Below are 15,591 nucleotides of genomic sequence, written 5' to 3'. Positions count from 1 at the left end.
ATTAGCAGAAGCAGTGAGGAGCTAAATGTTAATCCCCAAGACAATGCAGAAAATGTCTCCAGGCCATGTCAGAGGTCTTCAAGGCAGCCCTTCCCATCACAAGCCCAGAGGCCTAGGAGGAAAAAGTGTTTTGTTGGCTGGGTCCACGGTACCTGTGCTATGTGCAGCCTAGGGATTTAGTGCCCTGTGTCCCAGCCACTCCAGCCATGGCTGAAAGGGTCCAACATAGAGCTCAGGCTGTGGCATCAGAGGGGGTAAGCCCTAAACTTTGGCAGCTTCCATGTGGTGTTGAGCCTGTGGGTGCACGGAAGTCAAGAATTGAGGTTTGGGAACCTACACCTAGATTTCAGAGGATGTATGGAAATACGTGGATGTCCAGGCAGAAGTTTGCTGCAGGGGTGGGCTCTCATGGAGGATCTCTGCTAGGGCAGTGCGGAAGGGAAATGTGGGGTCAGAGCTCCCACACAGAGTCCCTACTGGGGTATACCCTAGTGGAGCTTTGAGAAGAAGGCCATCATCCTCCAGACCCCAGAATGGCAAATCCACTGACAGCTTGCACTGTGCACCTGGAAGAGCCCCAGACACTCAACCGCAGCCCGTGAAATCAGCAGAGAGGGAGGCTGTCCCCTGCAGAGCCTCAGGGGAGGAACTGCCCAAGACCATGGGAACCCGCCTCTTGCATCAGTGTGATCCAGATGTGAGAAATGTAGTGAAAGGAGATCATTTTGGAGCCTCAGGATTTGACTGTCCTTCTGGATTTTGAACTTGAATGGGGCCTGTAGCCACTTTGTATTTACCCAATTCCTGTACCCCCATTGTATCTAGGAAGTAACTAACTTGTTTTAGATTTTACAGGATCATAAGTGGAAGGGACTTGCCCTGTTTCAGATGAGGCATTGGACTGTGGACTTTTGAGTTAATGGTGCAATGAGTTAAGAATTTGGGGGACTGTTGGGAAGGCATGATTGATTTTGAAATGTGAGGACATGAGATTTGGGAGGGGCCAAGGGTGGAATGATGTGGTTTGGCTCTGTGTCCCCACACAAATCTCATCTTGAATTGTAATTCCCATAATTTTCACATGTCATGGGAGGAGCTCAGTGGGAGGTGATTGAATTATGGGGGCTGGTCTTTCCTGTGCTGTTCTCATGATAGTGAATGAGTCTCATGAAATCTAATACTTGTAAAAACAGATGTTTCCCTGAACAAGCTCTGTTTGCCTGCTGTCATCCATGTAAGATGTGACTTGCTCCTCCTTGCCTTCCACCATGATTGTGAGGCCTCCCAGGCCATGTTGAAGTATAAGTCCAATAAACCTCTTTCTTTTGTAAATTGCCCAGTTTCACGTGTGTCTTTATCAGCAATGTGAAAACAGGCTAATACAGGTAGACTCTCTCTTCAGTTCAGGGCACAACTCTAAGCATCTTCATTATAGGTGATAACTTAAGACCATGCAGCAATAAAGATAGCATATATTTTATTGTGTTTTTCACTCCCTCACCCTCCTTCTTTGATTGTGAGGCAATCTTTAGGCAAAGAATGATAAAATAGAAACTTCAGCTGAATTAAATTTAAAGGAGTTTAATTGATCAATGAATGATTTGTGAATTGGGCAGCCCCCTGAATCACAGGAAATTCTCAGAGATTCCATTGCAGCCACATAGCAGAAGAAGATTTATAGACAAAAAAGAGAAATGACATACAGAAATTGGAAGTGAGGTGTAGAACAGCTGGATTGGTTACACCTCAGCACCTGCATTATTTGAACCTAGTCTGAACACTCAGCAATTGATGAGTGGTTGAAGTATGGCCACTGGGATGGGCCAACACTCAGTTATTGTTACAGGTCCACACTCCTAAGTTAAGTTTTCAGTTTTTTCTGCCTAATAAGCTAGTTTATGGTTCATCCACAAGGACTCAAATATAGAAGTATGGAGTCCTTCTCAGGCCATATTTAGTGTGCTTTAACAGGACCCATGTATGTCAGCACATGACATTGTCTTTTTTTTTTTTTTTTTACATTATTATTTTTCTTTTTTTTCTTCAATCCCTGGCAGCAGGAAGTCATTTTTTTACGTTATTAAATATCCTCAAAGAATGATAGCTCAAGGTGAAACTATTTAATTACTTTATGGTGAATATAATATGAGCTCCTTAATAAACTATAACTCATGATTTAGATTAGACATAATATATTCATTCTGTAATATCATAGTACTATAGCTACAGAAGAGATTTTTTATATTTTAGCCAAATTTCCAAATTTACACATTTGAGCTTATACATTCCTCTCCTTCCAAAGTCTTATTACAAATGGTACATCATTTATTATCAGTGTGAAAATATATAGTTGTTACAATAAATAATGCTTTTCTGGAATAAACTAATTCAAAGGGAAACTGTGTTATATACTCTTAAGATGCAGGGTACCACTCCTAGAGAAGAGCCTCTTCTTCAGAATAGTCATTCCATAAAAGCTATTGCACTCACAGATATCACCCATCTTAAAAAATAACAATTTCGAGAGAAGTAAATCAAGCCATTTTAGCCTTCAGAGTTATACCAGAATTAGCATTAAGATAATTACTGGGGACTATAGAGAAAACCTGCTGCTTCTCTTTTCTCTTAAGCCTACAATATACAATAAGCTCCATGAAATATTGTGGCTTAAAAAAAATGACCATGGGCTTTGGAGACATACAGCCCTGGGATCAAATCCTGATCCTACCATTTACTAGCTGGATAAACTTAAGCAAGTTACTCAGCTTCTGTGAGTTTCATTGTCCGCCCTTGTCAAATAGAAATATTGCAAATTGTGAAGATTCATTGAGGTAACCCATGTATAATGCCTGCCTATAAACCTCATAATTCCTATTAACTCTCCCTATTTCCATGGTTTCAACTTTATACAGAGATGATATAAGACCTCTGGAGAGTGACTTTGCAAAATCTACAGTCAGATCTGGAGTCAAATGTCTGCATCTGAATCCTGGGTTCAAGTTCCATTGACCCTGAGGGCTGTGTGATTCTGTCTCACCTCCTAGGACTGCAGGAGGGTTAAAGAAGATTATGCAGAATTAAGGTGTTCAGTACAAAACTGGTACATACAAACACTAATTCAATTATTATTATTATTATTATTATTATTATTATTATTGCTACTGTTATTGCATTCCTCCAGGCTGGGTGGAAATGTTCCACCCATCATGGGCCTTAGGGAAATAGCTACAGTTGTTCTGTTGTTAGGCACAGTGCAGCCTCATTCACAATGTTGATTCTCAGAAGTTATCTATAATAGTCATTGGTAGTGAAAATAGCTGCACCAGTTAAGAGTATTATTTTCACCTGAAACTTATTTGGAAATCTTTCAATCTCTCATTCTCAGAACTCACAGTTTAAAAAGATAGATTATTCCAAGTCATTAGGTATTTGGTCTGAATTCATTAAAAAACATGGTTTGCCAAGTTACCACTAGTATAGGCAGCATGTCTTTCTTTCCTTCTTTCTTTCCCTTCCTCCCTTCTTTCCTTCCTTTCTACTTCCCTCCTTTAGTCACACATCCATTTAACAACCATTCATTTATTTAACCACCACTTTCACATGGGCTCTGATATCAGATGGCCAAAGTGTGAATCCTGGCACCAACTCGATTAATTTTGTGACCCTACATAAGTGGCTTACCCTCCCTAAGCCTCAAGTTCTCTTCTACCAACCTTAGGTATTAGTTGCATCTACCTCCGAGAATTGTTTTAAGAACTAAGTAAGATAATGAAAATCCCCTGGCATAGTGCCTGGTTCATAGAGCGCTCAGAACATTCTAGCTATTTAGCTATTAAAAGCATTATTTTTATTTTTAAACAATTTTATGATTTCTTCCCTTCATCCTCCTTCTATCACTACTACCTCCACAACTACTCTCCAGCATTCTACCAAATGCTGGATCTGCACTGTCAGAAAAACAAAAACAAACCAAGCAAACAAAAAATCATGATCCCTGTCCTTATGAAACTCACATTTTGCAGGTAAACATATAATGTATAAATAAACAACATTTTAAATATATTGTTATTATTATTGATAATTCATTGAAGGAAAAACATTTTGGGGGGAATGATTAACAATAACTGGAGGGGGCCAATTTACGATGTTTGGAAAGAACTTCTGTGCCTTTTGTGGATGTGTCATTTGAGTCAAGATCTGAAGAAAAGCTACACATGTGAAAAACAGAAGAGCCGAGATGTGTGAGACTGTGCAAGAAAATTTAGGGAGTGGAATGAGAGATGGAGTGTTAGGTCTTAGACTGTGCAGGCTTCCTAGGTAGGGAAGAAAGTTAGATTTCATTTGAAGCATTTATTTGAAGCATTTGCCCTTATTCTTAAAAGGATTGCGTGTCTGCTGTTGATGTTATAAATTTTTTTCTTCTTTTTTTTAGTCTTTAAGCTTATTGAAGTGTTTATAGGGCATTCTGCTGTGCTGAACATGTACAAGATATGATACCTGCCATAAGAAAAGAAAGATAAATACACCAAACATCAAATAAACAATGTTAAAATCTTCAAATTATGCATCAGTTAAGATTTTAATTTACTAAAGCTGTTTCCTTAATTCCGTAGGCTTTGTTCACAGATGGCAATATTTAAATCATAGAGTTAACATAAAGTGATAAAAGAAAAAGATCTTGGTGTGTGATGTATCCAGTAAACCAGAACTGTGCAAACTCGCCAATTAAATTTGACAACTTCTTAAAACATTTAATCCCACAGATGCAATATGACAATCCCAAAGTGGGAATAGTACATGAAATACCGCATCCTGCTCATTCACTTAGCTGTTATTTCTTAAGGCTGCACAATCAGAATTGCATTTAAGGGGTAGACAGCGAAAAATTCAGTTACTATACAGACACCAGACGCAAAACCTTGTCTTTGTCACTTAGAGGATGCAAATGGAAATCTTTGGATCTTAAACATTTCCAACTGGACTGTTTTTGTTTATTCTTGCCATTTTCTTGTTAATGTGAAAATATGACAGCAGTAAGTTTCCATTCTCTTCTAAATTATTTTTTTCTGGAAAAACTTTCCAAAAATAAAGGAAAACACATAATTATGTTTTGCTGTTACTGGATAATCATCTCTGTATTTTAAAAGCTCTTTAATTTAGCCCTACGGTTTAAATCACACTTTCTAAAAGCAGTGGTTTTACATTCTCTTCAGGTAGACATGTTGTTCAGTGCACTGATTAATTGGGTAAGCCTGATCCCTTATATTTAGAGCCCACTTGTAAGTGGAAGTGAGAAATGAATTGTGCCAAGAGCCTTCAGTTCTATATTTATTAATATAGTAGATTACACAGATCATGAAAACAATCTTCTAATTTATAAGAGTCAATCTAATATCTTGTTAAACAAGAGTTATTATTATTGAGCTTAAAATATTGAAGTGTGTTATACCAAAGGGCCACTTTCCACATTGAAGAATACTGCCGTGAACACTAGCATTTTAACCACATGCTAATGGGCTCTCAGCAGCCTGATAAGTTATTGATTATCTCAGCTGGCATAATTCGTATCAGAAGAAGACAGTGTAGTTAACTGGAATGTAAGTCCTTCCCTTTTGCAACTTGAAACAGACTCACATCTCATCAGTCACTTTAGTCAGGACCACGGAAATAGACAGAAGGCTTTGTTCACAGGTGGATGGGCCCTTTCTGAAAGGAGCAGTGCTGAGCCCCATTAAATTCTGGCCCAGAAAATTTCACCTCCTATTGTACTTATTAATCTAAACAGTAACTGAAATGCCAGATGGAGAAGCAGTTCAAAGCCGCTTGCTATTGTTCTCTTGCTAATGTGAATGGTAAAATTATACTGAAATTTCTATTTTGCTCATTTTTACCAAGACAGAACTGAAATGGAAAAGGATGAAGAGTATATGTGATAATAAAAGGCTATGTTTTTTTAAAAGAAAACATTCCCGCAGTAACAGCCAGCCATATTATTTTAAAGCATTTCTATAGAAAAGATTTTCCCATTGTGAATAATATTTAAACACATGCAAAAAATAATTTTACAAATAATTTTCCCCATACAAAGTTGTGATCAGTGTGGTCTGTTATGTTCACTGGAAATTGGAATGCTTGCAATCTGTGCTTCAGCTGACACCTTTCTCCTCACATTACTGCTTTTTATAATGGGAAGAGAAATGTATGTTGGAAATCATAAAGAAGTAATAAAATAGCTTTTAAATAAATAAATATATTGTTGTGATAAAAATGTAGGCATTGTACATTGGCAAGATTTCATGACACATTGCTATGCCTATTCATTTGTGGAAATGTTTGAAATTGCTCAAAAGGGCTTAGTTTCATGTTTTGGAGGAATGGTGAAGTTGAGTGTGACAGTTTGCTAAAAAAGGAATAGTAAGAGGAAAAAAAAGTATGTTCTCTTGGTGAACAGCTCACCTTTAAAAGGCCTCTTCAAGACATATTTAAATTATGTAATATTTTGCCAGAGAGAGGATCAAATCTCAGTTGCAGCCACCTATGCTACCTAGTGTAAAAGTCTCACCTGATGTGGCTCATTAATATGAGCCTAGAGGGGCTTGCTGAATTGTTTTATCAGGAACTTTTTTTTCTTTTGTCTGCCTAACTAGGATAGTAGCCACAGAAATTCTCATGGAATACAAAAATTGTTAAAGTGGTAGCATGTCTGAAATAATGAGCCCCTTAAACCAATATAGTATGATGGTTAAGAGTTTGGGGTTGGCAGTCAGAATGCCTGTGCTTTAATACTAGCAGCGTGGCATCAGGCAAGGAAATTCAGCTCCATAACCCTCAGTTGGTTCAACAATAAAAAGGGGTAATTAAGGCATATATGTGATGCCAGTTGTTTTAATAAGTAAAAGGAGATAATGCATGTCAAGTGTTTAACAAGGTTTTTAGCATTGATTAAACACACAATTATATTAATATTACTTAGTTCAAATTTCTTAGTTAACAGTGCTCAAGACAAAGTACTTACACTTAATCACAATTAGCCATATAAATAAAACCATATAACTAATAGCAATGTCAAGATTACAAACAAATCTCTTTGAACTAGGTTGCATTTTACACTGTATTATCTAGCAAATGTGAAATCAAGGTCTTACTTACATGAGTATACGGTAAAATTTCATTGCACTTAAATATTTATTTGGCTATATATTATATATGTATAATATATGAATATATTTATTCAATTATCTGTGACTGGCTAGGTCAGTCTACATAGCCCATTACTTCTATTAATATAACCTTGCTGTAGGTCATCATTAACATTGCTCTTTCTCCTGACCACCGGCTTTACTCTTAACCCAGATTTTCCCATTAGTTGCAAAAATAATATAATACAGTGTCTCTATCCTCAACTATATTCTGATTCATGTGAAGATTCATTCCCTCCACCCTCCAGCCAACTTGGTAGTAGTGTTATGTTCATATGCCAATATCTCATTTTTTTTACTAATAAAACTATCGATTCTGTTTACAAAGCTTTGCTCCAAAGACTTCAGCACAGGATGTGAAATTTTGTTATCATCTGCCAGTCAATTTACATCATTAGTAATTAATGTACTATGGTCTTTAGCCAAAATCAAACTGATGGACAAACATAAAAAATTTAGCTTCTTTAACATAGCTAGAAAATGATGGAATTAGTGGATTCAGCTGATATTGCTATTCTAACAGCATTTGAACTTTACAACCTGTAACCATTCCTTTTTCATAGATTAGGAAAACAAAATTTAGAGTAAATTAATTGTCCAAAGTCCTAAATATAGTAATGGGAAGATTCAGTCCTAAGACTTTTAAAAGTTTTATGACTCAAGTTCAACACGTCCAGGTCCTTACAAGTTCCTAGAGTACTTGTTCATTATATTGGATTACTAAGCTATTGATTTCAACACTGTTTCACTTTTACAAATTGATGGATGTCATGTCAGTGGAACCTGAAAGACACTGCGTAAAATTTACAGTAATAGGTTTAGCACAAATTCTATTTTGATACTGTTTAGCTTTATTATTCAGTGCCTATATTCACACTTTTTTTAATTCACTGGCATGGACACATAATTCCAATTAAAAATGTATACTCTTCCTCTAGATTCTGTCCTCACAAATATAAAATCTCTGTACCTATGCATAAGAGTGATAAAATGTATGTTCCTGCTTTTTGCTTGTTTGTATTCCTGAATGCTAGACAGTATGGCTATATTTTGCAAAAATGTTCAAGTTAAGCAATATTTATTGGTAACCTAGTTTCCTGGAATAAATTATTAATTTATTTGGTATTTTCTATTAAAAGGAACAAAAGGAAGAACAATAGGAGATAAGTTGAAATTTTGAATTGTTATGAAAGCGTCTTCAGATCAACAGTTTTTAAAATAGCAGGAAATTCAGAAATAATGTATTTTAATTCAATAAAATCTGCATGTGCCAACAAGAACTTGAGATCTTCAGTCAATAAGAACTAAGTTTAAATACTATCTATAGGAATTTGAGCAAATCTTGTTATCCTGAAGCTTTCTAATTTGTAACAAAGATGTAACAAAAGTAGATATTCCATTGTACTCTGACTCTCATTTTCTCTACTGTCTTCTCTGTGGCAGTAAGGTAACCTAGGACTTCATCACTTAGTGGCTGTGGCTTTGGACAAATTACATTCTCTTCTTGGACTCATTGTTCTCAAAAAGTTATTGTTATAATTAATTAAAATAAGGTAAATAAAGCCCCTAATGCCGTGGCCAGCAAACCAGGGCTCTCAGGCCAAATCCATCCTGGTACATATTTTTGTAAACACAGTTTTATTGGAACATGACATACTTTTGTGCCACAATGGCAGAGTTGAATAGTTGGGACAGATCTTGTGGCTCACCAAATCTACAATATTTACTCTAAACATTTAGAGAAAGATTGTCAACTACTGCCTTAATGTATTCCTAGCATGTTTCTTCCTTTACTTTTTTGTTTCTTTCTTCCTCACTCCCTCGCTGCCTACCTTCTTGCCTCCTTCCCTCACTCGCCTCCTTCCTTCCTCCATTTCTCTTTTTTTTCTCTCATTCCTCTGTTCCATTCTTCTTTTTTTCCTTCCTTTCCTCCTCCTTCCCTCCCTCCCTTCCTTTCTTCCTCCCTTCTTTCCCCCTTCTGGAAAAATGTATTGTCTACTATGTAAGTCAAGCTCTAAGCTAAACTCTGAGAATATCACAGTAAGATCCAATGGCTATAACATAGTGGTGGACGTAGACAAGTAAAAGACAACTAAAATACGGCAAGTGCTATGAAAAGACAATTAATAGATGGGTGTCCTAATCAGGTTTTGGGGATTCAGGGAAGGCTTTCTGAAGGAAAAGATCTGTAAGGAGAAATCTGGAAAATGAGTGGAAATTAGGTAGGTAAGAAGTGTAGAAGGAGAGAAATGTTCCAGCAATGGGGATAACATTTGCAAAAGCATGATAATCACAAAGAACACTGTGGTTTTCAGACATTCAAACAGTTGACGGTGTTGGGAGGTTTGTGCAGAAGAGTGCAGAGAGGTAAGGCTGGACAGTTGAGCAAGAACTATACCATGCAGGGCAATGTAAGCCACGGTCCAGAGGATTGAATTTACTATACCACAAGTAATGCAAATGGAATCAGAGGGAGGAATTTGCTTGCATAGAAGTAACATATCCAAACCAGTCATTTAAAAAGTTTATCTGGCTGCAGTTTTAGAAAGTGGATTTGCATATATGTTGTTTTCATGAAGACAAGTAAGATGACTTGAAATACTCTGAAAAAATAAACAAATCTAAGTGTAGGTATCTGGTTCGAATTAGGGATAAGTTTAGGTGTGTTTGTTCGTTTGTTTTAGGAATTTGATGACATTGCCCAAAAGATCCAGGGATTAGTAAATCCTGCATTTCTAAGGCAAGTATCTATAGAAGAAACAATGTCCAAATAGAAAAAAAAATACTGTATTCCCATTGTTGTTTACAAAGCTCTCATAAACCCAGGGTATATAATTCTTTATTCTCATATATATTTTTTCAACACATATTTACTGAATACTTACTAGGCTTCAGGAACCATTCTAAGGATTGGGTAGATAGCAATGAATAAAACATTGAGCGTCCTTTCATGAAAATTATGTTGTCATAGAGATGTAGCCATAAATAAATAAATAAATAAGCATTGTGAGCTCTGATATATACTATGCAGAAAAATAAACAGGTACAGGATAGAACAAACATAATGGGAGGTTACCTGTTTTAGAAAGGGGAATCAGGAAAGAATTCTTAATTAAATGACATTTTAACTGATACCTAAAACAGTAAATGTGGCATCCATGGAAAGGGACAGCATTTTAGGCAGAGTAAATGCTGTAAGTGTGAAGGTTCAAATGAAGGAATGTACCGGGCATAATAAAGAATTAAAAGTTATTAATGTCACTGGAGTAAAGTGATTAAGAGAAATAATTCAATGAGAAGCAGGATAGATGGGTATGACAGACACATTAAGGGGCAACTGGAATTGGTATCATGCTTGAGGGCAATGTAAACCTATTGAATCACTTGAAGCAGGCATGCAAATGATTAAGATTTATAGTTTGATTGTTTTCACAAAAATATCTTGGACAGATTTTATTAGATTTATTTCTAAGTATCTAATATTCAACAGCTATTATGAATTACTTTTTGAAGATATTTATTTTGATTGTTACTTGTGTAAAGAAATGCAAGTGATTTTTATATTAGTTTCCAATATTGTTCCAGGCTCTCTCAATTATCTCATTAATTGTAATAATTTGTACACGAATACTCTTTTCCTTCCTGTTTTCTCCTTCCTTCCTTCTTCCCTTCCTTCCTTCCTTCCTTCCTTCCTTCCTTCCTTCCTTCCTTCCTCCCTCCCTCCTTTCTTTTATTTTCTTTTCCATTTTTTTTTCAAGACAGTGATTCTCTCTGTTGCCCAGACTGGAGTTCAGTGGCACAATCATTGCTCACTACAGCCTCCAACACCTACCCTCAAGAGATCCTACTGCCTCAGCCTCCCAAGTAGCTGGGATTACAGGTGACTGCCACCATGCCCAGTTAATTTGTTTTTCTCAATTTTTTTGTAGAGATGGGGTCTTGCTAGGTTGCCAGAGCTGGTCTCAAACTCTTGGGTTCAAGCAATCCTCCCATCTCTGCCTCCCAAAGGGCTGGAATTACAGGCGTGAGCCACCACCATGCCTGGACCCTGTATATTAATTTTGTATGTTCACAATCGTATTATCTGCACATAATGACAATTTAGTTTCTTCATTTCTAATCCTTTTAACATTCTCTTACATTATTTTATGAGATAGGTAAAAGGATAAATTTGTACTGTTCTCTATTTTAAAGAAAAGGTATTCTGTATTTCCACACTGAGATGTTTGTTGTTGTAGGCTTTCTATAGTCACCTTTTATTAGACTAATAAATTTTTTTATATTCTAATCCTTATTCCTAGTTGATAGTAATTGGATTATTTGTATTTTACATTTCTTCTTGTGTCAATTTTGGTAGACTTATTGCAATAACATTTATTTCAATTAAAATATCAATTTAAATAAAATTAGAAAGGTGTTTCTAATTTATTGGCATAAATTTATACATAGTTTTCTTTTTATTTTGTATTATTTGTGGAGTATTTACCTTTGTAACTTCAAATATTGATTATTTGTTCATTTTCCCTTTATTATTATTGGTCTTGCCATAAGTTTATCAACTCTTTATCTTTTCAAATCTAACTATTTGCTGCTGAATCACTTTACTACATATTTTTGTATTTGATAAGTTTCCCTCTTAAACTTATTATTTTATGAATAATGTTATTACTTTATTACATTATTTTTGGAGGATCATGTTGCTTTTTCTTCTTTTATTATTACTTTAGAAAATTAATGCTTATCTCATTAAGTTTTCAGGCTTATTTTTTAATAATTTCATTCAAGGCTAAAAATTCTCTTGAATACAGTTTAAAAATGTATTCACATATCTTTATTATAACTAAGTATACAGTATTTTCTAATTCTCTTTATGATTGCTTTAATGCTCCATGAGTTATTGAGAATTTCATCTCAAAATAAAAATTCCCAAATACATGAAAATATTTTAGTTATGTTTTAATATTTATATATCAAAAATGTAATAATATCCGAGAATATGTATAATTTAAATCCTTTGAAATTATTTGAGATTATCTTTTGTTCCAATATATAATCCTTTTTAAATGATCTATATGGACTTTAACTAATGGGAATTCTTCACTTGTGGAGTACATTATTTCAAATATATCCTTCAATTCAAGCCTGTATAATACTATTAAAATATTACATATTTATAGTTTTAAATTTTTTTATGGTTATAAATTTAGATTAAAAAGCATAGAATTATGCATTTTATCCCTCAAATTTCCTATTTGTAAATATGCTTTCACTATAATATTCTTTTTTTAGTATTAAAATAGATACGACAGCTCTTTTTTGCTATTTCAGTTTCATATTACTTTTATCTTGTTTTGTTTTCAACTTTTCTGTATCTTTAGGTTTTAAGTGTGATTGCTCCTAACAGCTTATAATTTGATTGGGATGTGTGTGTGTGTGTGTGTGTGTGTGTGTGTGTGTGTATGTGTTGTGTATTTATGTTTAAATCCAGTCATATAAACTTGTCTTTTAATTGGAAAATTTTGCACAATTAGATTTACTGTAACAACTGATATATTCAGATTTAGTATATCTTTTCATGCTTCATATTTTTCCCATCTTCTCATGTTTTACTTTCTCTTCTTTCTTGATGTTTTTTGTTGTTACATTTATCCCCCTGGGAGGATGTCTTCCCTATATTAGAATGTAAATTATAAAACTGCATTTTTAACTTTTAGAAATTACATTATACCTTTCTTGTTTAAGTGATTACTAGCCTTTTCAGACAAAAACTTTACTTATTTGAGGCAGAGGGATCACTTGAGCCCAGGAGTTCGAGACCAGCCTGGCCAACATGGTGAAACCCCATCTCTACTAAAAGTTAAAAAAAATTAGCCAGGTGTGGTGGCGCACACCTGTAATCCGAGCTACGCAGGAGGCTGAAGCAGGAGAATTGCTTGAACCTAGGAGGCGGAGGTTGCAGTGAGCCAAGATTGCACCACTGCACTCCAGCCTGGGCTACAGAACTAGACCCCATCTAAAACAAAAACAAAAACAAAAACACCTTTACTTATTCTTTCTTAACCCCTCCATTCATTTGGCACTGAGTAACTGCACAAATTCAAGACAACCTTGTAGTAGTTGGGATCATGGGGCTGAGTTTCCTCCAGTGGAGTGTGAGTTGAAATCATGTGTAACTTTTCTAGCCCAAGGCTGGTAATTAGATTTGATGCTATATATCTTTCTTGTTGTGCTATCTGGTTCAGATTATAACTTCTCAGAAGATGAACAATCCTCAAAAAAATGAAAGAAAGATCTGAGTCCCTGAAGCAGCTGGTAGATGAAATCCTCACATACTAGGAAAATCCCTCCTTTGACTTTTATGTTATTGAGAAATAAACTTTTATATGATTTCAGTCATTATCTGTTTTTAGTTTATTTGTTACAAACATTAGTGTTATACCTACTAATATAAAAATTGAATTTTGAACTTAGTTATTGCCATAACACAAATATAATGTTTGTGGCATTGGTTTAGTGGTCCAGTGGAAGACAATGAGAAAACAGATATAGCTGATTGGGACACTGAATATCTCTTTTATTTTTTAGCAAAACATTTGGAACATAAATTGGAATTGCTTCAAAGACAAAGTGCCTCAAAGCTTCAGGAAAAAAGCCAAAATGTTAGCATATATTGATTGTTATTTCCTGTGTATAGCAAGATTTTGAAGGAAGGAGAGTAGGTTGGGGGGAAATATTGGCAAGTGTGCAAGCAGAAATAAAAGCAAATATACGATGTACTGATTTTTCCATTTATTCTCCCTATGTCTCTTACTTATTTTCTTTTCACTTTTAGGAGTAACATGATGTGATTTCATTTGTTAATGAATCTCATTCTTACTAATACATGGAGAGTGGATTGGAGGCCAGAGTGGAAGTAGAGACCAGTTGAAAAGGTATTGCAATAATAAAGATTAGACAGGATGACCATTTGGAATAAGGGGAAACAGAAGGAAGTAAATTCATTGATTTGATATATATTAAGGGAGTGTATGCTACAGTGTAAGGCCTATAGGCAAACTGAAAATGGGAAAAATAGAAAGGGTGAAGGGATTATTGCCAAGATTCACAGAAACTACTGGATGATTGATGGTCCCATTTTCTGAGAAGGAAAGATAGGGCAGTGCAAAGTATTGAGGAAGAAAATTCAGAGTTCAGTTTTAGTTTCCATGGGTCATGTGAAGCTGGGAACAGGTTTAGATGACTGGGACTGTAAACTAGTCTCTGTTGAAATATATTCATTCTGAATATAAATAATGGTTGGGATTTAGTATATTTTGTGAGGTGGGAAGAGGGGAAAGTCTGCAAAACACGTAAAGTCTGGTATTTAGGAAAGGATAACAGGAGCATGTAGTGCTATGAAAACAGAGGAATCAAGAGTTTTAGGAGGAATAAACAACATTTATAAATAAATAGCATAAAAGGGGGAGATTAAAACTTAAATCATTTTGATACTCTGAATATAACAAACACTATGTAGTGCCCCCAGGTTTTAGCAGTAAGTAGAATCATAATGATTTTAACAAACACAACTTTAATGAGGAGTTGGGGGTTATCATCAGATTTTTAGTGATTTTTTGATCTTGAAGAATAATGTAAACATAAAGAGATTCAAAAAATGCTAGTTCTCTTTGATTTATTTTTTCTTCTCCTAGGCAGTAATAATGTTTGGAGTTGGTCGGAGAAGACCCTTTCCCATTCTCTTTTGCTCCAGACCTTCCCAAAACGCAACCACTCAAGTTTTACAGGTGAGAGCAAAATATTGAAAGGGAAATTGCACCTGGCTAAGTTTTTCTTGAAACTTGAGTAAGTCTTAATAAAATTATAATTTAAAAATCTCATAACAGATTGAAATTTATTTAAAATACTATACTTTAATCACAAAATTGTATTCCTTCCCTTGATATCACTTGTAAAATTATTTTGATTCACTTTAGAAATTGCATGAGTTAGATTTATGTATCTGTTTATTTCTTTCCCACACAAACACAAAAACAACCCAGCTGTGATTACATATTACTGACTGTTTATAAGTTGCAAATCTGCTCCTTAAAAATTTTTGGCATTTTTCTGTAAACTTAAAAACTTATCTAAGAAATAACATATTAAAAAATTTCTTGACATAACTCCAGGAAGGCAAGTATACACAGAATTTTTATTTTTACAGAAGATATTTTGTATTTTATATATACATATATATATACAGTCTGTACTAGGGTGGGTTGAGGACATAAAATTTAAAGTCAGTACAAAATATAGATACAACTGTAAAGCCTTTATAGAAGTTAATAGCTCAAACCACCTTATGATATTCCATGAACAATTTTCTTTGGGATAAATTTTTTAAACCATCATG

The 15,591-nt window shown here is 34.9% G+C and overlaps 2 long non-coding RNA genes across 5 annotated transcripts in view; one reads left to right on the top strand and one right to left on the bottom strand.

Annotated features, from left to right (window-relative positions):
- The window catches only part of LOC105378797 (uncharacterized), a 396,491-nt gene that overhangs the window by 199,007 nt on the left and 181,893 nt on the right, over nt 1-15,591 (bottom strand). The gene's annotated exons all lie outside the window — the stretch shown is intronic.
- Nucleotides 14,032-15,591, top strand: part of LOC105378796 (uncharacterized) — a 56,436-nt gene continuing 54,876 nt past the window's right edge. Inside the window, exons 1-2 of the long non-coding RNA XR_001737673.2 lie at nt 14,032-14,131; nt 14,891-14,983. This is a non-coding gene — a long non-coding RNA (uncharacterized LOC105378796). The remainder of the gene's footprint in view (nt 14,132-14,890; nt 14,984-15,591) is intronic.

This window comes from Homo sapiens, chromosome 1, assembly GCF_000001405.40.
Source record: "Homo sapiens chromosome 1, GRCh38.p14 Primary Assembly".
Lineage (NCBI taxonomy): Eukaryota > Metazoa > Chordata > Mammalia > Primates > Hominidae > Homo > Homo sapiens.
This window is presented reverse-complemented; position numbering and strand designations above follow the sequence as displayed.